Below are 23,229 nucleotides of genomic sequence, written 5' to 3' on the forward strand. Positions count from 1 at the left end.
TCTGTTGTCCAAATGGTTAGTGACCCCATCCATATGGATTGAGGAGAGAGGGGAGCAAGCTTAGGAGGGAAGACACAGAAGATGTGCACTGGACAATTCCTCTCTGCTGAAAGGCCTCAGACACACTGATGGATTGCTTCACATCTGGGAACAAATGCTGTGAAGTCTCTGTGTCCTCAGCGGCTCCACCTGGTTGCACTAGGGTGGAATCATGGGAAAGGGCACAGGTTATATATTCTTGCCATTTATTCTCACGGAGACCATAATGCTCATTCCATATCAACCGAAAGGTAGCATTTGCCATCACTCTTTTTGGCTTTTGTTTTGTTTCTCTGTATTTTACTTGTTTTTCATCCTAACACCCTTAAGGGTGAGGGTAAACAAGGGCTATAGGAGGCGAGGCCTTCCAGGGAAATGCCGGGCAGGGAAGAAGGTCAGGTCCGCCTAAAGGTCCCTCCTACCAACATTTCCCTGGAAATCTTTGCATCCTACTTGAGAAGGAGAGGGGTAGGGTGAAACTTTCACTAGACCCCAGATGGGGCCAGAACTGGCCTGAGTCCTGAAATGACATTTGTTCCTCCAGGACAGTTCTGAGAGTGTTGCAGGCATTTCGGTTTGTTGGATCTAAACTTGACCTGCTATTCATTGCTATAGGATGGGAGGATGGCAGCGATATCACTTGTACTCACAGACCCAGCCTAGTACGACGCCAGTGTCTTTGTTAGAAACTCTACAGATGTCTATGTCCAGCCTGCCCCAGCGGCACAGGGCTACCCCTGGTGGGATTTTGTCAAAGGGGAAGACCCACCAAGTAGAGCCCCTGAGCCCCTCCTCTTCCCAGGTGGCCGTCTCTCCTTGATCCACACCAGCGGCAGTTTGTGCAGCTTCACCAGAGCTTCTAGCGGGACCATGCCGCCACGAGGGCCACTGGGAGCAGAGTCCCTCCCATGCTCAGGGCTCTCCAGGGTCTGAAGTCTGCACTTGTATGAGAAGGAGCTCCAATACCAATAAAAGTCTACGTGGAAAATGCAGAATCTGATTGCAGTAGCATTTCTTAGGCCTTATTAGCATATAAATTTACCAGGTGTCATTTTAGGACAAGAGCCCGTCACTGAGAAGGAAATGAAATTTGGAGCTGCATTTTCCTTCATTAAACCAAGGGCCCATTTTTGTTTTGTTTTGTTTTTTGTTTTGTTTTCTTTTCTTCGGTTATTCATTCTTTTATTATCTTCTGCTGTCACATCCTCCAAAACTCCTGTGCATATATTTTCTTGCACCTTGAGATTTGGCATTTCAGGAAAAATGCCTAGCACAATAGGCTGTAGTTTAGAGACTTGCTTTGTCATTTTATATGTCCAGCAGAAATTGTCGTAACTCCCCCGGATGATCAGATGCTCCCGTGCCTCTCCTGTCTCTCAGACCACACAGCTATTATCCCTGGCATTCTAGTTGTGAGACAAAACCTTAACACAATGTGGTGACATTTAATTTAGTGTTTCTCATTTCAAAGCCCTTAAAAATATTAATTAATTCCCATGAAGCCCCAGGAGGCGTATTATTAATATCTGTGGCGCCTTTCATGCTAGTCCATTAATGTGCCTTCTCTACGCAATAGGTAAGAAAATGAAGCTAAATCCGTTTTTCGCAGCCCCATGGGATAAGACCTTCACAGAGCCAGGGTCAGAAATGATGAATCCTTAATTTTATTGGTGTCCCTGAATAATCTACCCCGTGGCCTTCTGTGTGGCGTGGAAGAACAGCACTCCTGTTCAGGAGCAATCTCAGGAGACAGCGAATGATTTTCCTGTGGAGCTGTGACTTCAGCAATCCTAGTTCGATAGCTGTGTTGAGGAGAGTAGAATTGAGAAAAACTGCCGCAGCAGTAATGTAATAAGTGAGATGGAGCAGGAGGCACTTGACAATTTCACTAGAAAATCTCCCAGCGATCTGTGGGCCCTGCAGTGAACCCAGCCCCTGCAGATCGATGGGCCCGTGCTCCAGGGAGACAGATGTGGAGATCAGCACCGTGGCTTGTTCTTATTTTGGGGTGCCTTATCTTTCCGTGCCTTTGTTCTTCACCACTATGCATGGGGGATTTCTGTAGCCTTAGCAACCAGAAAGCAGGGTGGATCTGTGGAATTAGACTCCGAAATCTCGAGTTTAGTTGACAGCGCTTTTTCCTTCCTTCTGATTGCCTCGCCGTCTGGCAAGCTCTGCATGTGTTCTTTTCTCACCTGTATCTGCAGCCCATGACTCCGGAAGTCTTTCTGACTCTGAAAAACATATCCTGTGTTCACTAAGGGGAAGTGGTTTTAATGTGCATGAAAAGAGGCTGGCAGGCGCTCACCCCACCTGGACCCTAGACCCTGGAGAAGGGGTGGGAAGTTAGCTTCAGTGGACGTTCCTGATAAACGTGAGCTCAGGTGGCTCACTTCCCCTGGCCTGACTGCAGACTTGAGCCAGGAACACCCATTCCGCCTTGTGTGTGAGACCCAGGAGGATCAAGGAGATATCCTTTAGCATCCATTAAAAAAAAAGTTTTTTTTGAGTCCTACCTCTCCATTTTTGCTCTTCCCTACTTGAGCTGTCTTAAAGCATCCCTGGAGGTAGGAAAATGCATAGACCCTCCTTCCCAGGGCCCCAGTACTGCCGGAGGAGCCTCGGTGATGGCTGCACCTCTGCCCTGGGGCCTGGAGCTGGGCTAACGCTTTCTTGGAAAACCTCTAATTGTTTCTACCAAGTTAGCCAGGACACTTTTTAAAAAGCACTTTCATTAAAAATGCATAGGTATTTGTTTTAATTTACATAACGGCCCAGACCAAAATGGGATGTGGCCTGCTGCTTAGACTGGCCATTATCACGCCTCTGATTCAGAGAAAAACCTAAATTTCATGTTTATGCAGGTCTTATAGCTGATGCGTTTGGTTTGAAGGAGCAGGTGAACTAGGTCCTCTCCAGGACTTGGTGCTTTTTTGTTGGGTGTGGAGAGACATGGGCGAGATGGGGCTGTTGCTGCTGCGCTGATTTGAAGCCATCTCTCCAGACTGAACCCGTCCTACGTGTCCGCCATTCTTTCTACCTATCCACCTGAAGACGGAATGTCTAGCTACCTCTACTTCAGACTTATTTTCTAATTTAGAATGTACTTACTTGAGTGGATGTGGTTTTGGAGGGCCTGTAGCCAAGGTCGTGACAGCTGAATAAAATGTTTCCTTCTTTGCCCCCAGAACTGCGCTTTCATTTATCAGCTGCCCTTGGTGTGTTGTATGGGATCAGCCAACATTCAGGTATTTAGAACATTAAGACTCAGTGGCCTGGTTCTGTCTCACCAAGAACACAAATAAACAGTTGATGAATCCATCACATCAGTGATGAATCCAGAATGTGTCCATCATTTTCGTAAGTCTTAGTATGCAGAGAATCTCAGATAGCAAAGCAGAAAGGATGATGTCACAGACGCCTTGGGTACCCAGCACCTGGATGCAGCTGTTTGTACACACATACTTTCTGATATTATGTTGACAGTGACTTACACCACTTCAACCTCAGGCAGGATTCTATCAGTTTCTTTACTACAAATTGATTTGTTTCTTTAATAATTATTGTAATTACTGTCAGTAAAAATCTGAGTATGACTCAGCAATTAGTTGCTGGTAACTGAGTGTGTTGTAATGCTGGGGAAAGGATATAAAACTTGTATTTTGAACAGAAAGGCACACATGTGGGTGAGCAGTGTTTACCACCACAGAATTTACCGTCTACACAGAATTGAGATAGCTGCACATGAATGTATAGTGAGCAGTGTAAGTTAATTCAGAGAAAGAAAAAATTATTTCCTGCTGAAAGGGTTCAAGAAGGAATTTTGTAGGAGAGCTGGGCATTGAACAGGCTCCTCCAGAACATGTGGGTCAGATTGGCCACCGCATGGCTGGGGTCCCCCATGGGCCAGTGATGCCCACCTATGGGAGCAGGTGACACGCTGCCTCCCAGGCCACGCATCGACACCCCTCCTGTCACGCTCCGTGCTTCTCTGAGCACTTCCTCCTTCCCTGTGGCCCTGGGCTCCCTGTGGGCCAGCCCTGTCCTGGCAGAGCCCCCTGTGCGTGTCAACGCACATCCTTCATAGATGAAAATGGACTTGAAGATCCCGCGTTATCAGTTGGTTAGCTCTCTCTCAAGTCTCCTTCGTGACTCTGCTTTATTTTTCGAGCAGCATTCTGGTTCTGAGCGAGGAGACACTGAGAGGGGAGACCACTCTGTGGCTCTAACCCCGCCTCAGACCAGGGCTCCGCACTGTCCTGCAGTGGCACAGGGTTGCTAGCCTTGGATTAGCTTTTGGTTCTCTAATGGGCTTTGCTTGCAGGTACAAAAATTTGGGGGAACCTGGAAAAACTCTTAAATCTCCTCATCTGAAAGATATTCATACATCTACTGATGACTTCCAAAGTACAAGGTCTAGAATACCAAGAGGTTTTATGTTGTCATAAATTAGAGTTTTAATGTATATAATTAGGTGAAACCAAATGTGTATCATATACAACAGAGTAACCGTGTTGCAGGAATTGGGCCTCGTTTTCCTGTTGTTTTCCTCACATCTAATTCTTTTTCTCTGGAAATGCCAGGGAACCTTTCTTTATTTTCTTTATTTTTATTTTTCAGTAGAGACGAGGGATCTGACTATGTTGCCCAGGCTGGTCTTGAACTCCTGGCCTCAAGTGGTCCTTCCACCGTGGCCTCCGAAATGCTGGGATTCCAGGTGTGAGCCCCCGTGTCCGGCAGGGGAACCTTTCTTAAGCATGAATGGTGTGCCCTCCTCAGGGTGTGTCCTCTCTGCTTCCTTTCTCAGTCACATCAGCAGGTGCTTCGTGTGCATCTGTGTGCCCAGCCTGGGCACAGCGGGAGCCCAGGCCTTCCTTCAAACGCAGCCTCCCCTGCACGTTCCAAACACTTACTGGCATTTTTCTTCAAGTGATGATCATGGCATTGGCCTTACTTATTTTAGTTGTTTTTAAAAGAAAGTTTTAAAAGTTTATCAAAGTGATGAACATACACATCACTTTTTAAAAACATAATCCCCACCCAGAGGCAAACCCTTTTAGCTATTTGTTCTAGTGGCATATGTTGGTGCTGCTTTGCACTGACTCATCAACTCAGGGCATCTTCCCTGACTGCCTGGTGTGGCCCCAGCACTTTCACACCCGTTGTTCCCCTCCCCAACCCCAGAAGGTCGTAGATTTACTCTGTCGGTTCTTCTTTGTTGGGAGTTCACCATGAAAAGTACTTTGCAGGAAAAGAGCAATGATAGAACTGGAGTAGCTCCTCGCATGACCCACCTGTGCCCGTTTTCCAGCATCCTGCCACCCAGCCAGGTCTGTCTCCTCCTTGGCCCGTTCTCCTCACTCAGGTTCTCTGGAAGTTGGCACAGTTTTACTAAAATAAAATCAGCATTCATAGCATTAGGACTATGTAAACACTGTTCTCAAGCAAGCCAAGTCATGTGTACTTGGGTCTGATTCTGGACTTTGTGTGTGAGTTCCCTGGGCTGCTGGTCTCCGTGCCCCCAGCCTCGCTGTCTTAATGAGAGGCCCTAGGGGAGCCTGCAGTGTCTGGCAAGGCCAGGTTGCCCTCAGGGCTTTCTGCTGCCATGATTTTCTGGCCCTTCGTCCCTGTTTGTTTTTCCCTGTGACCTTCAGTAGCAGCTTAGCTCCTTGGGGTATTTACTGGGAATGCATTGAATATGTGAATTAAACGAGCGAGAGCTGACATCTTAAGAATGTTGACTCAGCCCACCCAAGCAGGGAGCATCTTCCCATTTGTTCACGTCTTCTGTGTTTTCCAGGAGAGCTTTGAAAATCTTCCATGTCTGTGTTTTGCACATTTCATGTTAAACTTATTCCTATGCATTCAGTCTGCTCTGTGGCTTTCGAGATGGGGTTTTCTTTGCCATGATGTTCCTTTGTTTATTATTTGTGTATATCAAGGCTATTGATTGTTCTCTGTCAGTTTTAGATTCTGCTCATTCAGGGTTAAGGGCCCAGGCAGGAGGCGGAGGGAGGAGCTTTCAGCAGGGCGATTCCTTACTCGGTCTCTTCACTCTTCTGCCATTGCTGCCATGTGTACATTGCAGGCTCCTTCATTTGAGCAAATTCTCTCTTCCATGCTCCAGATGTTTTCAGAAGGACCGCGTACTTCTGAGAAACACTTGGTACCCCAGTGGCAGCTGCGTTTGCCTTGGTGTTGCCATGTGACAGGCATTACTTGTTTATCTCATTGTTGTTCCTAGTAGTTCTCAATGTTTGTTGAATGAATATTTATAACCATCATGTGTGGCAGTTCTTATGTAGTGTTTTGATTTGTTTTTTTGAGACCATCTCACTCTGTCACTCAGGCTGGAGTACAGTGTTGTGATCATGGTTCACTGCAACCTCAACCTCCTGGGCTTAAGTGATCCTTCCACCTCAGCTGGGACTACAGGTGTGTGCCACCACACCTGGCTAATTTTTTTTTTTTTTAATTGTAGAGATGGGGTCTCATTCTGCTGCCCAGGCTGATCTTGAGCTCCCGGGCTCAACCAGTTCTCCCACCTTGGCCTCCTAAGCTGCTGGGATTTTCGGCATGAGCCAGGGTGCCTGGCATTACCTGGTTTTATAGATGGAGAAACTCAGAGCCATGTGTCCAGGACCACACAGCTATTAACTGCAAACCCAGAGGAAAGGGTAGGGGATGAGTTCCAAGCATTCCCTGGAGTCCGTGGTAAATTTCTTCATTTCTTCTCCTGCAACAGGCCCGGTACAAGCAGAGCCTTGACCCAACTGTGGATGAAGTCAAGAAGCTCTGCACGTCCTTACGTCGCAACGCCAAGGAGGAGCGAGTCCTCTTTCACTACAATGGCCACGGGGTGCCCCGGCCCACAGTCAACGGGGAGGTCTGGGTCTTCAACAAGGTGGGTGTGCCTTCCAGCTTCCTTCCCGTTTCTGCCAAAAGCCATGCCAATTGCGGTGGTCGGAGCAGGTCCTGCCCATCCGTAGCTTCTGTTAAGCCATTGATGTTTACTGTGTTTCAACAAACCCAAATGCCATAACTGAACGGACCAGGTAGTCAGGCACAAGGAGGGGCTGTTTCTGTGGCAGAACGTGTTCATGGAATGACTGCCTTGAAGTGTGGTGCGTGTGGTTTATGTTCCCTCTGTAAGACCAGCAGTTGTTTGTAATTCTCCGAGGACAGACCTCGAGAGTGTCTGCCTTCTAGTTTGAAAAAATTGCACAATTTCTCAATTTCGTTAGAATCTTTCTTTAAGCATCGGTGATTTTCTTAGAAAATAAAGTGTTTTATATATTCTAAAGGGCTAATTCCAAGCTGCCCTGCAGGTGCAGGCTCTGGGCTTCCCTCCTCAAGGTCAGAATCACCAGCCTTTTGCAATTCCGTTGCCCAGGACCAGATGAAGTGCTTGCTCCCCTTCTGTAGCTGTTGCTGTGGGTGGTGGGTGCTGACTGTCATCCCCATCCTCCAGGGTGTGGTGGGTGCTGACTGTTGTCCCCACCCTCCAGGGTGTGGTGGGTGCTGACTGTCTCCTCATCCTCCAGGGTGTGGTGGGTGCTGACTGTTGTCCCCACCCTCCAGGGTGTGGTGGGTGCTGACTGTCTCCCCATCCTCCAGGGTGGGAACCTTGGTCTGTCTCAGAGCAGCCAGCTATGGGTCTCACTGCGCTCTGCGTGATGCATGAAAAGCAGTTCTTGGAGGGTGCGGTGGCCCCATATGTGCCTGAGCGTGTCTATGAGGGCACTGATTTGGAATCCAGCAAATCCGAGTCCCAGTTTCGGTTGTGCTGTCAGCCTCCTGGGCTTCTGCTTCCTTAGTGTGGACACCGCCTCCTGCCATCATAGTGAGGACTCTGACTCCGTTTCTTCACACACTGAACTCTCGGTTCCCGCCTACCGTCCCGGGTTCGCAGCTAGCATTCGGCACAGGTGGTGAAGCAGTGTGGGCCCAGAGCAGAGACCTCGAGGAAGGCTTCTGACCCTGGACACTGAGGAGTAGCCAGCCTCGGAAGTTAGAAAGGTATCCACCCAGCTCCTCCCGCAGGGCACAGGGCAGTGCCATCTCTCCCCGTGTGTATCTGGATACCAGCTTGATTTTAATTCCTTTCGTTAAATATTGAGTAAATTCAAAACGATCGTTGTGAAGGAAGTAGGATTTACAGAAGCAGGATGTAATGAACCACCAGGCGTGCACCACAGGCCCCTGGCGTGTCTTTCTCAGCTGCAGTCTCTCCTTTCCCTGCCCTCCCCTGTGGCGCCTGGCACAGTGAATTTGAATTTGTCCTTCCCTGGCTCTCCTCTGTGGAGCCCCCGGTGTGCTGGCTCTCAGGCACGGCGAATCCGGGAGATCGCTGCTGATACGCTGGGCGGACGCTGGCGCGCTCTTCCGCAGTGCGCTTTGCTCACTTGGTCGGAGGCTCTGCAGATTCATGCCACCGACCCCAGGGGCCTGCAGCCCTGCCTCTTCCCACATTCGCTGTCCCCTGCCGGGACCCCGCCCTTCTCAGTGCCTTCCCTGCAGATGGGCATTGGGCTGGTTCCCATCTTGTTTCTGCTGTAAACCGCGTGAGTGTTTCAGCTGCCCACCTTTCTCTCCAGCACTGGGTGTTGTCACAGGTTTTTTTTAATGATAGACTGTGGTGTGCTCTGATTTTCTCTGATAACCATTAAGATCGCGCACCCTGTGTCCGCCCGCCGGCTCCCTGCTGCTCAAAGCGCCTATCTGCTATCCACTTCTCTCTGCAGTGGGTTGCCTTTTCCTATCGGTTTGAGGGAATTCTTTGTATTCCAGACAGTAATGATTTTTATGAATTGTGTCTCTCTTCTCAGAATTTATGATGTGATTTTTTTTCTTCATCTTCTTACACTCCTGATAACTTACAAAACTTTTTTTTTTTTTTGAAACAGGGTCTCTCTCTGTCACCCAGGCTGGAGTACAGTGGCATGATCATGGCTCACTGCAAACTCTGCCTTCTGGGCTGAAGCATTCCTCCCACCTCAGCCTCCCAAGTAGGTGGGACTACAGGTGTGCACCACCACACCTGGCTAAGTTTTGTATTTTTGCTAATTTTTGTATTTTTTGTAGAGCCAGGGTCTTGCCATGTTGCCTAGGCTGGTCTTGAACTCCTGAGTCCAAATAATCCTCCTGCCTCAGCCTCCCAAAGTGCTGGGATTACAGCGTGAGCCACTGCGCCCCGCTCCCAGTTGTGCTTTTTATTTGTCCTTCTTGTCTTGGTGTGCTGGCCGATGCCTTCAGTGGAGTGAAGTGGGGACTGGGTGGGGAGCGGGGAGGGAGGCATCTTTGTTTCTCTTGTCCTCGCAGAGGGAGAGTTTCTGTGTTCAGTGTATGATGTTTGCCCCAGGCTTTTTGTAAAACAAAAACAATCACCATTATCGAATTAAGAAAGTACAATTCTTAATTTGGTTTTTTAAAAAAATTGTGACTAGATGTTGATTTGCCTCCCTTGGTTATTTGTATGTGTGTGTGTGTGTGTGTGTGTGTGTGTGTGTGTGTGTGTTAAAGTGGTCACAGTACTTTTCTCCCTTAGGCTGGTGCTACGTTGAATGATACTGTATGACCATCTCCTGTTATACACACCTTTCTTTTTGGATTAACCTGTGTTATGATGAATGATCTGTTTCATGCATGGCTTATTCAGTTTGCAGCCATTTTGTTTCATATATTAAATCTGTGTTCGTGAGTGAGATTGGACAGGGATTCTTCTTTGTCTTGCTGTCCTTGCCTAGGCGGAGTAATCAATAACTGTGGCCTTAGAAAATAAGCTGAGGAATGTTCCTTCTTTGTATATATACTTGAATAGTTTTTGTGATGTTTGAAGTATTTGTTGTCTGAATGTTGTGGAACTTACAAAGAAAGCTCTCTGGGTGGTATTTTGTTTGTGGAGAGTTTTTGACTTACTGATCTAGCTTCTTTCATGGTTAAAGGGTTTTTCTGTTAGCTTTGCCAACTGACTTTTGCAGGACCTTGTCCATTTCTACTAAGCTTCCCGATGTGTTGACATAAACTGGCTCACAATACCCCTTTAGAAACTCACCAGTATCGGGGGTATCTGTGAGTGAGGTGCCTTCCTTTGCTCTTGGTGCTGGGTATATGTGCCTTCTCTCTTTTCTTGTTGATTATTCCTGTGAGGAGTTTATGTACCTTTTATCAGTCTTTTCAAAGACCCAGCTTTTACCATTGTTGACCCTCCAGAGGATGGAAGGAACAGTAGGATGAATACCTTTATACTGTTCCCCTGTTGCCAATTTGACACTTTTTTTCTTGTCCCCTGAACCATTTGAAAGATGCAGACATCCTGACACTAAGAACGAGGATGGCTTTCTGTATCACCACATTACCGTCAAATTGCTCAAGAAATGGAACATCAGTTCTGTGTCATTTACTATAGAGTCCATGTTTGTGTTTTCCCAAGTGTTTGCAAAATGTGCACTAAATTAGTAGGCATTTTTTTACTTGTTGATTTTGTTGTGGACCCAGAATCTAATTAAGGTCCATGCATTGCATCTGTTCCTTATGCGTTTTTAGTTCCTCTTGCCTTTCATGTTATGACATTGACTTTTTAAATGACTTTTTAAAATTTAAAAATTTTGTCTTCTTTTGGGAAGTTAACATATAGTTATACATCAGTCTTTTTTTTTTTTTTTTGAGGTTAAGTCTCCCTCTGTCGCCAAGGCTGGAGTAACAGTGGCGTGATCTTGGCTCACTGCAGCGTCCGCCTCCTGGGTTCAAGCAATTCTTCTGCCTCAGTCTCCTGAGTAGCTGGGATTACAGGCGCCCGCCGCCACGCCCGGCTAATATTTGTATTTTCAGTAGAGACGGGGTTTCACCATGTTGGCCAGGCTGGTCTCCTACTCCTGACCTCAAGTGATCTGCCTGCCTTGGCCTCCCAAAGTGCTGGGATTACAGGCGTGAGCCACCGTGCCCAGCAGTCTTTTTTAAAATAATAGACATCATTTTTTTTAAGAGCAGTTTTAATTTTACAGAAAAATTGAGCAAGTTTATTGAGTTATATACTTCCTTCCCCTCATTTTCCTCTATTGTTAATATCTTGCTTTGGTTTGTTATGTTTTTTACAATTGGTAAACTGATAATGATGTGTTATAATTAATGATGTCCATATTTACACTAGGGCTCACTCCTAGTGATGTACATGCTGCAGATTTTGCTGAATGTGTGATTTCCTGCAACCACCGTTAGGTTGCCACACAGAGTAGTGGTGTCCTTCAAGTCCTCTGTGCGCCCCCTCATCTTCTCTCCCCTAGCATTTGGTCTTTTCCAGAATGTCCTATAGTTGGACTCATATAGTATGTAGCCTTTTCAGACAGGCTTCTCTGACTCAGTAATATACGCTTAAGACTCCTCCGTGTCTTTTTGTGGCTTGATAGCTCATTTTTTACAATTACTGAGCAATACTCTACTGTGTGAATGCAACACTGCTTCTTTATCCATTTTCCTATTCAAGGGCATTTTGGATACTCTGAACTTCTGACAATTAGGAATAAAGCTATTATTAACGTGTGCAAATTTTTGTATGGATATAAGCTTTCCATTCATTTGGGTGAATACCTGGGAATGGGTTTGGTGGATGATTCGGTTAGAGTATGCTTAGCTTTATAAGGAACTGTGAAGCTGTCTTCCAACATGTCTACGCCGTTTTGCATTCCTGCCAGCACTGAACGAGAGTATCTGTTGCTCCACATGCTCATCAGCATTTGATGTTATCAGTGTTTGGATTTTAGCCATTCTGGTGGGTATGTAGTAGGATCTTATTGTTATTTCATTTTCAATTTCGTAATGATGTGAAATTGGGCGTCTTTGCATGTTCTTATTTGCCGTGTTATATCTTCTTTGATGAGGTATCTCTTCAGGTTTTTTGCCCATTTTAAGAATCAGGTTGTTTTTCTTGTTGCTGAGTTTTAAGAGTTCTTTCCATATTTCAGATGCCAGTTTTTTGTTTTTGTTTTTGTTTTGAGATGGGGTTTCGCTCTTGTTGCCCAGGCTAGAGTACAATGGCGTGATCTTGGCTCACTGCAACCTCTGCCTCCTGGGTTCAAGTGATTCTCCTGCCTCAACCCCCGAAGTAGCAGGGATTACAGGCACCCGCCTCCACGCCCGGCTAATTTTGTATTTTTTTTAGTACAGGCTGATCTCAACTTCTGACCTCAAGTGATCCACCTGCCTCGGCCTCCCAAAGTGCTGGGATCATAGGCATGAGCCACCACACCCGGCCTGGATGCCAGTTCTTTATCAGATATGTGTTTCGCAAATATGTCCACCCAGTTTGTGGCTGCTTGTTTTCTTTTCCTAGTAGTGGATGTTCGCTTTTTGACGAGTTTGGACCAGTGATCCTCCAGGATGTCCCACATTCTAGTTTAATTTCTTCGCTTTTTCACAAGTTTTTGTCAAACCAGATTAAAAAAAAGCATGATCAAACCTTGTGCTGTCCATAGTAGATGTATTTTAAATACAAAGACATATGAAGTTTGAGAGTAAAAGAAAGGGAAACGATATACTATGCCAATACTAGTCATAGAAAACCAGTGTGGCTCTATTAATCAGAGAAAATAGACTGCAAGATGAGGAGTATTATTGATGATAAAGAGGGCCATTTCCTCATGATAAACAGGCCAGTTCATGAGCCAGGCACACACCATCCTGAGTGTGCGTGCGCTTAATATCAGAGTTTCAAAGGACATGCAGCAAAATGAACAGAATTAACAGGAAAAGTATGCAAATCCATAATCATAGTTGGAGGTTAGAAGATCTTCTTTTAGTAATTGATAGATTAAACTGATAGTTAAAAATTATAGACAAAATTGATAGTTAAAAAATTTTTTTTTGAGATGGAGTCTCGCTTTGGTTGCCCAGGCTGGAGTGCAGTGGCGTGATCTCGGCTCACTGCAACCTCCACCTCCTGAGTTCAAGCTATTCTCCTGCCTCAGCCTCCCAAGGAGGTGGGACTACAGGCGCCCACCACCACGCCTGGCTAACTGTTTTGTATTTTTAGTAGAGATGGGGTTTCACCATGTTGACTGGGCTGGTCTTGAACTCCTGACCTCAGGTGATCTGCCGGCCTCGGCCTCCTAAAGTGCTGGGATTACGGATGTGAGCCACCGTGCCTGGCCCTGTAATTAAAAACTTTCTTATTGAGAAAACTCTAGGCATAGTATATTTTTTCTAGTCCAAAGCAAAAGCCAGTATTAATGTAAAAGACCTAGCAATATTATCAATCACCCCGACTTAATTAACATTTATACAGCCGTCCACACAACTGTAGAATATACATTCTCAAGTGCATGTGGAATGTTCACCATATGCTGAGCCATAAAGATGTCTCAATAAAGTTTGAAAGATTAAAATCATAGAGTATATTCTCTGTTCTTGAAATTCAAAATTATGGAATATCTGGAGAAGCCCCAGATACTTGGAAATGAAATACCACATGAGTCAAAGACAAAATCATAAAAGAAAATAAAAAATAATTCAAACCTAAAGATAATGAAACTATGACACCCAAATTTATAGGATTTAGGTGTAACAGTGCTTATGGAAATGTACAGCTTTAAATTCTTACATAGAAAGATACATTTTAGAAATATATTTAAAATGAAAATCTGTTTTTTTGAAACGGAGTCTCTCGCTCTGTCGCCCAGGCTGGAGTGCAGTGGTGCCATCACCACCCACTGCAACCTTTGTCTCCTGGATTCAAGCAATTCCCCTGCCTCAGCCTCCCAAGTGGCTGGGATTACAGGCGTCCACCACCGTTCCCAGCTATTTTTGTATTTTTAGTAGAGATGGGGTTTCGCCATGTTGGCCAGGCTGGTCTGAAACCCCTGACGTCAAGTGATCCTCCCACCTTGGCCTCCCAAAGTGCTGGGATTACAGGCGTGAGCTACTGTGCTCAGCCTAAAATCTAATATTCTGCCTTAAGGAAACAGAAAATGCTGAGCAAATTAAACTCAAAGCAGAAGGAAAGAAATAACAAACAGCAGAAATCAATAAAATAGAGTACAGGCAACAGAGACAACATAGCTAAAATGTGTTTTTTTTGAAAGGATCAGTAAAAGTTGACGAATCTCTACGTAGGTAGATCAGTGAAGAAAGAGAGAAAACACTTTATCAACATCAGCAATGAAGGAGAGGATATCCCCACATATCCTATAAGCATTAAAAAGGTAAGGGAATATTATTAATTTTATATACATTTAAATATGTAATTAAATGGACAGATGCCTTAAAATACAACTTACCAAAACTGACCTAAAATGAAATAGAATATCTGAATAGCCCTATATCAATCGGCTTCTTTCCAAGGCCATGCCAGGCATTTAATCCCTGTGAGGCCAGGGGCTTTTTATTTTGTTTACTGCTACATTCCAAGCTCTTAAGATAGTGTCTGTTACCCTAGCAGGTGTTTGGTAATTGTCAACCACATGGGTGGGTAGATGAATGGATGTTTTTATTTTTATGTTTTTTTTTTTTCAATTTTTTATTTTTCCATAGGTTATTGGGGTACAGGTGGTGTTTGGTTACATGAAGAAGTTCTTTAGTGGTAATTTGTGAGATTTTGCTGCACCCTTGTAGTCTTTTATCCCTCGCCCCCTCCCACCCTTCTCCCCAAGTCCCCAAATTCCATTGTATCATTCTTATGCCTTTGTGTCCTCATAGCTCAGCTCCCACGTAACAGTGAAAATATACGATATTTGGTTTTCCATTCTTGAGTTACTTCACTTAAAATAATAGTCTCCAGTCTCATCCAGGTCACTGTGAATGCTGTTAATCCATTACTTTTTATGACTGAGTAGTATTCCATCATGTATATATACCATATTTTCTTTATCCACTCATTGATTGATGGGCATTTGGGTTGGTTCCATGATTTTGCAATTGCGAATTGTGCTGCTATAAACATGCGTGTGCAAGTATCTTTTGTGTATAATGACTTATTTTCCTCTGGGTAAATACCCAGTAGTGGGATTGCTGGATCAAATGGTAGTTCTACTTGTAGTTCTTTCAGGAATCTCCACACTGTTTTCCATAGTGGCTGTACCAGTTTACATTCCCACCAGCGGTGTAGAAGTGTTCCCTGATTACCACATCCACACCAGCATCTACTGTTTTTTGATTTTTTTATTATGGCCATTCTTGCAGAGGTAAGGTGGTATCTATTGCATTGTGGTTTTGATTTGCATTTCCCTGATCATTAGTGATGTTGAGCATTTTTTCATATGTTTGTTGGCCATTTGTATATCTTCTTCTGATAATTGTCTATTCATGTCCTTAGCCCAATTTTTGATGGGATTTTTTTTTCTTGCTGATTTGTTTGAGTTTGTTGTAGATTTCCGGATATTAGTCTTTTGTCAGTTGTGTAGATTGTTAAGATTTTCTCTCACTCTGTGGGTTGTCTGTTTACTCTGCTGACTGTTCCTTTTGCCGTGCAAAAGGCCTTTAGTTAAATTAAGTCCCAGCTATTTATCTTTGTTTTTATTGCATTTGCTTTTGGGTTCTTGCTCATGAGATCCTTGCCTAAACCAGTCTCTAGAAGGGTTTTTCCAATGTTATCTTCTAGAATTTTTATAGTTTCAGGTCTTAGATTTAAGTCCTTGATCCATCTTGGGTTGATTTTTGTATAAAGTGAGAGATGAGGATCCAGTTTCATTCTCCTACGTGTGACTTGCCAGTTATCCCAGCACCATTTGTTGTAAAGGGTGTCTTTTCCCCACTTTATGATTTTGTTTGCTTTGTTGAAGATCAGTTGGCTGTAAGTATTTGGGTTTATTTCTGAGTTCTCTATTGTGTTCCGTTGGCCTATGTGCCTGTTTTTATACCAGTGCCATGCTGTTTTGGTGACTATGGCCTTATAGTATAGTATGAAATCAGGTAATGTAATTCCTCCAGATTTGTTCTTTTTGCTTAGTCTTGCTTCGGCTATGCAGGCTGTTTTTTGGTTCCATATGAGTTTTAGAATTGTTTTTTCTAATTCTGTGAAGAATGATGGTGGTATTTTGATGGGAATTGCATTGAAATGAGTGGATATTTTTACTGAAATGTCATCTGATCACCAGATGTGGCATGCACCCCTCTCCTTGACTCTTTAGTCCTCCTGGTGTGGTCTGTTTTTCTCCACAGCTTTTTCCCAGTCTTATGTATATTGTCTCTATGTCACCATTAAAATGTGAGTTCCAGGATAACAAGGTCTTTGTTCTATGAACCGCTTTATCATGGGTACCTAAAACCAAGCATCTCAGAACATAGGAAATGGTAATTCAATGTTCACTGCATTCTACGCTAATGTCATAAAAGCAACAGAATGATCCCTAGAGCCAAGTCTTTCTTGGTTGTATTTTCCCCCACTGTGTTATTCCATTAGTTTATCCTTTCATAGGTTTATTTTGCACATCACGTGGCATGCCACCGGAGACAGGCGCGTGTTCTTCCAGATCTAGACAGCCATAAGCTGCACTGTAGAGCATGCAGTCCTGTTGCCGAGTCTTTCAGCCTTCAGATAGGCTCCCTCCATCAAAACGAAGCCTGCAGCATTACAGATGATACACTGTCGGTACACAATGTAAGATTTAAAAACATTTAAACATGCTAGTTTTAACTATACTTTTCTTTTTGTTTAATCACCATTTATTCTGTTGCTGGTTGTTTTCTCAGCCTCAGCAGAAAACTGAGGTTCAGGCCTTAAGCAAAATCCGGGCTCAGATTTTCCCCATGCACCGCCCTCCCTTGCATTCCCCTGTCTGTGTTTCAGGCAATTAGGACTGGCAGCTGTAGCCATTAAGAATTCACGTAGCGGAACGTTTATCGGGAGAAGGATTAATCCACTACTCGAATACTCCCAATTAGCTTTTAGACCCTGTCTGCCTTTTCTTCTTTGCAAAAGGAGAAAGGTTTTTCCCACTTGATACATTTTTTTTCTCTGCTTTTTAGAGTTCCATTGTGACCAGAAGCTATTTCCACCCTTTGCTGTGTACCTAGGCACAAAGCTACAAGGCTTTTCCCTGTGTGTACAGCTCATGGTGCCCTCTCTAGGTAGGATGAGCTTTGCTCCAGGTTACCTGCCTTTCCTTAATTTACTGAACATAAAGTTGGAGTTTTATGTGGTTTTGCATTTTTGGTTTAGGATAATTTTTAATTCTTCGGTGGTCTTCCTGTGGTGTTTACAACCTAACCCCTACCCTCTGCCAAAATCATCCTCAAAGGCCATTTTTGTCTTGCACTATGTTCTACCCTTACCCCTCCGGACATTAAATAGGGACATAAAATGGATCTTATCATGGAGAGCACAGACGGAAAGCAAAGACTGTTTTGTTCTGATTGTTGGTTATAAGTCTAGCTTAAAGCCGAATTGCATGATGATGTATTGTGATAATGTAGGGAAAATATTGGCCCCTTCAGAGAGAGAGAGAGTTGTGCCAGCCCAGCCATGGTGGGCAGGCAAGGTTGGAGGGGGCCTCCTGGAGAAGGCGGTGCTTGCTCGGGCTGAGTCTTACAGAAGAGAACAAAGGCAACAGTTGTCCCTGAGAGGGGACTGGAGGGGATGATCTCAGAGGAAGTAGATGATATAATAAACCAGCATGGTATTCATTGGAAACTACAAGCAGTTCTGTGCTATGGGAGCCTGGAGCCTGAATTGGGTTTCAAAAGAAAGAAGGCCAGAAAGTGTTCCAGGCTAAGGCATAGAGCACCTCGCAGACTCTTAGGGATGTGGGCTTAGATAAATCCTTTTGATGCCGTGTGAAGCCTGGCTCTGGGGAGAAAAGACTGGCTAGAGAAACTCCAGGTAGAAGGCCGTCGTATACAAGAGGCCAGTGGCGGCACCCTGAGTCAGGCTGGTGGGGCGACCCTCAGGACCTTCCTAGGACAGGTGGAGGTTGAGTTAGAGGGAGCAGGTGAGACCTGGACTGTGACCAGGCACCAGAAGCGAGAAGAAGGAGCTTGTGGGCATTTGTTCTCAGGTTGTGAGTAGGCCGGAGGTCCATGAGTATGGGGTCGTGAGAAGTAGGGGCAGACATGCTGCGGGCGGTTCCCAAAATACAGTTTCTAGAGCCGAAGAAGGCCAAGAGAGTGAAATCTGGGGAGCAGAAGAGGATCCTGGCAGGTGATGGGGAGGAGAATTGGGAGAAAATGGCATGGGGGAAGCCGGGAAGGGTACCTGTCAGCCCGGGGGAACAGAGATGGAATTGATATCCATTATTCCAAGGAGTCTGGCCCTTTAGCAAGAAGAGCACTTTATATTCCAAGTGAAGCAGTCCTGTTCAAAATAAGCAGCTCCCCATTTCTGAGAAGATGCTGAGTACATCTTCTGCCAGAGAACTCAGAATGTGAATCAGAATTCTCAGCCCTATTAAAGTGGCATCTTCTCAGGGCTCGTTCCTGTAAAGCCCCTTAAGGGCACAGCCTTCCTTTAAACTCTCAGCCAGGAACTGTGGTCTCATCTGGATTTGCCGCCGCAGCTTTCCCTGGACTAAAGATGGACTTGTGCCACCATTCTCAGAGGAGGGCAAAGGACAGGGGTCAGCAGATTCCTCCTCCTCCTGAAGGGGGTTCTTGAATACATATCATCCAGAAGCAGGGGGTCGTGGCCCCGAAAGGTCAGGAGTGGGGGGAAGCGGTACTTGTGAACAGACAACTCGGGAGTATACATCACCAGTAAACCCCAGTCCCGTAAAATCCGTAAGGCTGCAAGCTTATTGTCATTGGTGGTGGTGTTTTTGGTACTTCCTCTGCCCTTCTTTTATTACAGTTAAATAATTATTCCATGAGCAATTCTAAATAAATATTATTTAATAGGATTTATTGGTTTTTTGTTTTTTTAATTGGGATTGTCATTATCAAATAGATGCCTCTTGTGTTGGTATACAGTTAATTGTTGCTTCTGTTGAAAGATGGATCATGGGCCGGGCACGGTGGCTCACGCCTGTAATCCCAACACTTTGGGAGGCCGAGGCGGGCGGATCACCTGAGGTCAGGAGTTTGAGACCAGCATGGTGAAACCCTGTCTCTATTAAAAATACCAAAAAAAAATTAGCCATGCATAGTGGCGGGCACCTGTAATCCCAGCTACTCAGGAGGCTGAGACAGGAGAATCGCTTGAACTGGGACTTGGAGGTTGCAGTGAGCCGAGACCGTGCCATTGCACTCCAGCCTGGACAACAAGAGAGAAACTGTCTCAAAAAAAAAAAGATGGATCATAAAGCTTTTGAAATACACTATTATCAGAAAAATACGTGATTTTTAAAAAGTGATATTTATGTCAGACCACAATTATCATTTGTTAAAATTGTTACTTTATTCGTCTTGAGAATCTAGCGGTGTCCAAGAAAAAGTTTTATGGTAAACTTGACCTTTCTTTTCTGAGAAATTCTAGCATTTTGTGTTTGCTTACAGTAGTAGAAGGCCATTAACAAAAACTCCATTTCTTTGGGAGAAGTGCTGGAAATGTTTGGAGTATTTCTTTATGAGAGCTTAAACTTTAACAAACAAATGATTTCCTTGATGCCAAGAGATACAAAACCTGAGAGTGCAGCTGCACTGACTTCGCGGGTGCCCTGCATTTAAAACCACGGTCATAGCGCTGCGGTGCCCATGCTTGAGTGCGCCCAGCATCACCTGCAGGCTCACGGAGCCACAGACTGCCAGGCCCTCCCTGAGCCTCTGCTTCTGTGGCCGTGGGTGGGGCCTGACGATTTGGCTTTCTTGGGTGTCCCACAAAATTGCTGCTGCGGCCGCTTCTGCTGCTGTCTGGGTTGTCTGCCTTTGAGAACCCCTGGTATGGACAGTGTGGTGTGAGAGGCAAGCAGGATATTCATCTTATGGTTTGGGGTCACTCTGCTTCTTACGTGTCGGGAGAGACACTTCCCCGACCCCTTGTTTTCCATCTCTAATTTTAGCCGTCTAGGGCAGAAACAGTCCCGGGTAAACACCAAGGCCTCGTGGGAGGCACCTAGGAGGTGAGGAGGGGCTACGTCTGCCGGGTCTCCAAGCAGGAGTGAGAACCAGCTAGACAAGGGGAGGCCTGGGAGTGCGAGGGGGCTCTGGTGACAGGAAGTAGTCCCCTCTGACCCGGTGACACCGTGGGGAGCAGGTGATGTGGTTCCAGTGCTCTGTCATCCTGGGGTCAGTAGGATGAAAGATGTCGTAGCAGCACAGGCAGCACTGTGGAAACTGTTCTCACGACTGTGAGTCATTGAGGCTCCTGGACGCGGCGGAAGTGCAAGCGGGAAAAAGGATGGCAAGTTGAGTAACCTCAGGGGTAAGCAAGGAGGTGTGAGAATCACTCACTTCCTCGGCAGGGCCTGCACGCACCTGGTGCAGGAGCAGCAGAAGCCATGCTGGCTCTTCCTGCTGCGTGTGCATCTGGCCCTGGAAAGAGGCACACCCAGCAGCGGGCTCTCCTGGCTCACCCGGGGCCGTCAGGGCGCTGCAGTTTGCAGGAGCATCCTTTGGGCTCTTACCTCAGTCGGTGGGGCTGGGCAGCTGGGTGTCTCCAGCCCATCATGCTGGAACATGCTGGAAGCTTCCTCAGGGTACTCGGGCTTATTTTGGTAGTCATACACATGAAATGCACTTTGGGGGAGAAGGATGAAATATTTTGGTTAATCCACTGAAAAAATGAATGTTGAGGAACACAGCCAGCTTTCCTGTTATTTATTAATAGGCTTAAGATAGCCAGAAGGACATTTCTGCTAGAAAGTTATTGCCAGCTGAAAAAGAACAAGTCTTCATTATTATCCAATTTGGTATATATATATATATTTCAGGTTTTTATGAAGCTAAGGGCAAAGGTCAGCTGCTTCCTATTCCTTGTGGATTGTGCTGCTGATGGGAACTTCCTTTGACTTCACAAATACAAGGGATTGGAAGTGCATTCTTTGTTATCTCATATGTAAGATGAGGCTTTTAACACGATTTTCTTTTAGTTAATTTTAAAATATTTTATTATAAAATTCATTTTTTTTCAAATGGTGCAGATAAGCATAAAATAAACAATAAAAGTTCTTCCTTTCCTTCCCTCCAAGCCTTTGTGTGGCACGTTCTTGGCATGTTGCAAAGTGCCGTCATCATCATCATCATCATTGAGTTTGGAAGAGGAAATGATAAGTTTTATTTTTCCCTTCTCAAATTTTTGAATTTGAGGTGTCACAGGCAATCAAATGAAAATAACCAACTCTCTGTAGAGGTGGTAGTTGCAGCTGAACATTTTTGGGACTTCAATGTTTAGGCAGTATTTAAAACCAGGGAGTTATATTTGATTGCCTGGGAGAAGATGTGGAATAAGAAGAATGGAATAGGCCCCTGACGATAAGTTTTTAAGGGGAGGGTGGAAGGGAGGGGTCCCAAGCTGGGAAACTTTGGAAGAATGAGCTGAGGCAGCCGGAGACCTGGGGAGAGAGTGTGTGTTTGAGGGGAGACGGCGCATAGATGTCAGGTGGGGCAGGAATGGAAGAGACCATGGGATGCAGCATGTGAAGAGGTGACTATGTGTTCAGTAATTTCTGGAGAGCAGTTAGGATCAAAACTAGGTTTGCATTTTTAAAAAACAATTTGAAATAATTTTAAATGTACACGAGAGTTGCAGAGGCAGCACAGAGAGTTCCTGTGTGTCCTTCATCCAGCTACCCAGTGTCAACCTCTTACATGACCTCAGCACAGCGATCAAATCTAGGAAACATATGTTGTTACAGCACTGCCAACCACACACAGCCTCCTTGGTGCCAGCAGCCTTGCCGCTGTAATCCTCTGTATGTCTTGTGGTCCAGCCCAGGCCCCCACCCACATTGGCTGCCTTGTCCTCTGGTCCTCCCAGCCTGGGATGGTTCCTCAGCTGTTCTTGTCTTTCATGACCATGACATTGTAAGATGCTGCTCAGGTGTTTTGGAGGATGTCCCTCACTTTGGGTTTGTCTGATGTGTTCTCATGATGAGATTGAGGATCAAAGTTTTGGGAAGAATAATGCAGATGGGTTATTCTCAGTGCATCAGGTTTGGGGGTGCGTGGTGTGTGTGATTCTTATTACTGCAGATACCAACCTTGATCACTAGGCTGAAGTGGTGCCTTGTGTGTTTCTCCAATGTGAAGTTGTTATTTTCTTTATAATTCATAAGCATTTGAAGGAGATACTTTGAGAGTATGCAGATATCCTGTTTCTCCTTAAACTGCCATGCCCTAATTCTAACATTCATGTGTAATTACTATCCTGGTGTTCTAATGGTGGTGCTGTACCTCCCTATTTCCTTCCACGTTTAGTAACTGGAATTCTTCTGTATGAAAGAATTGTTGCTTCTCTTGTTGTTTATTTACTTGGTTGTTTGTTTATATCCATATGGAGCCACTAATATTTATTTTACTTCTTGGGTTATAATCCATTATTATTATCATTATTTATTTTGTTACTGAAATTGTTTCAACTTTGACCACTGACACACCTTCTAGCATTTTCTCTACCACAGCCCTGGATCAACCATTTTTCCAAGGATCTTTGGCTTTTTTGAGAGTGGGATTTAGAAACCAAGATGTGGCCTCTTTGTGTGCTCGTTACTACTGGAGCATTAGTGTTACTAGGCCTAGGCCCTCTCCGTGGACTTAGCTAAGTGATGCATTTGTGTGTAGTAAGCTGTAAACACATGCATATTGATTTGCGTATCTATGTACAGGTGTGGAAACTAGATTTTAATGACTAAACAGGAGGTAAGGGACTAGGGACTGGAATAGACTAATCTTTCCAGAAGTTTGGTGATACTACTGAATAACACTGTTTTTTCTAGCTTTCTCTGTAATACAATTTTTGCAATAAATACATAGAGAGCATGTGATTAGAGGAGCCTGTCTGTTGGGGAGACCTCGAAGAAAGAACAAGGCTAAGCAGGGATGTTTAGTTTCTGCAAGAGGTAACTTATGTTTGTAGATAGGAGAAAGGGGGTTGCTGAAGAAAGTATAAATCAGTGGAGTAAAGGATGAGAAATGGGAAGGTATGAGAAGATTAATTCAGGACAGAGATACAGCATTTGACTTGGCAAGCCCAAGCACTCTTCTCTGAGACGTGGGAGGGAAGGAGAGGTGAATACAAATGTGGTGGAGCTTTGAAGCTGGACATGAGAGCTGGTTCCCCTTGGAGCCTGTCTCCTGTTAAGTGAGAAGCCAGGCCATGTCCTGAGAGGTGGG

The 23,229-nt window shown here is 45.0% G+C and overlaps 1 protein-coding gene across 2 annotated transcripts in view, besides 2 other annotated features; it reads left to right on the forward strand.

Annotated features, from left to right (window-relative positions):
• The window catches only part of RPTOR (regulatory associated protein of MTOR complex 1), a 421,531-nt gene that overhangs the window by 156,219 nt on the left and 242,083 nt on the right, over positions 1-23,229 (forward strand). For both annotated transcript variants that reach the window (NM_020761.3, NM_001163034.2), the window contains exon 4: positions 6,785-6,943. In NM_020761.3, the coding sequence (NP_065812.1) occupies positions 6,785-6,943 (159 nt within the window). The remainder of the gene's footprint in view (positions 1-6,784; positions 6,944-23,229) is intronic.
• Positions 3,939-4,058: an enhancer, noted in NCBI's record as "active region_12939". NCBI's record gives its function as "activates an Ori minimal core promoter by ATAC-STARR-seq in GM12878 lymphoblastoid cells {active_cell/tissue: GM12878}" and the evidence as "EXISTENCE:reporter gene assay evidence [ECO:0000049][PMID:35858748]".
• Positions 19,752-20,951: an enhancer, noted in NCBI's record as "BRD4-independent group 4 enhancer chr17:78694608-78695807 (GRCh37/hg19 assembly coordinates)". NCBI's record gives its function as "activates an origin of replication core promoter dependent on BRD2, P300/CBP, MED14 and CDK7 cofactors, and independent of BRD4, by STARR-seq in HCT116 cells {active_cell/tissue: HCT116}" and the evidence as "EXISTENCE:reporter gene assay evidence [ECO:0000049][PMID:35650434]".

The sequence above is a fragment of the Homo sapiens genome, chromosome 17, assembly GCF_000001405.40.
Source record: "Homo sapiens chromosome 17, GRCh38.p14 Primary Assembly".
Lineage (NCBI taxonomy): Eukaryota > Metazoa > Chordata > Mammalia > Primates > Hominidae > Homo > Homo sapiens.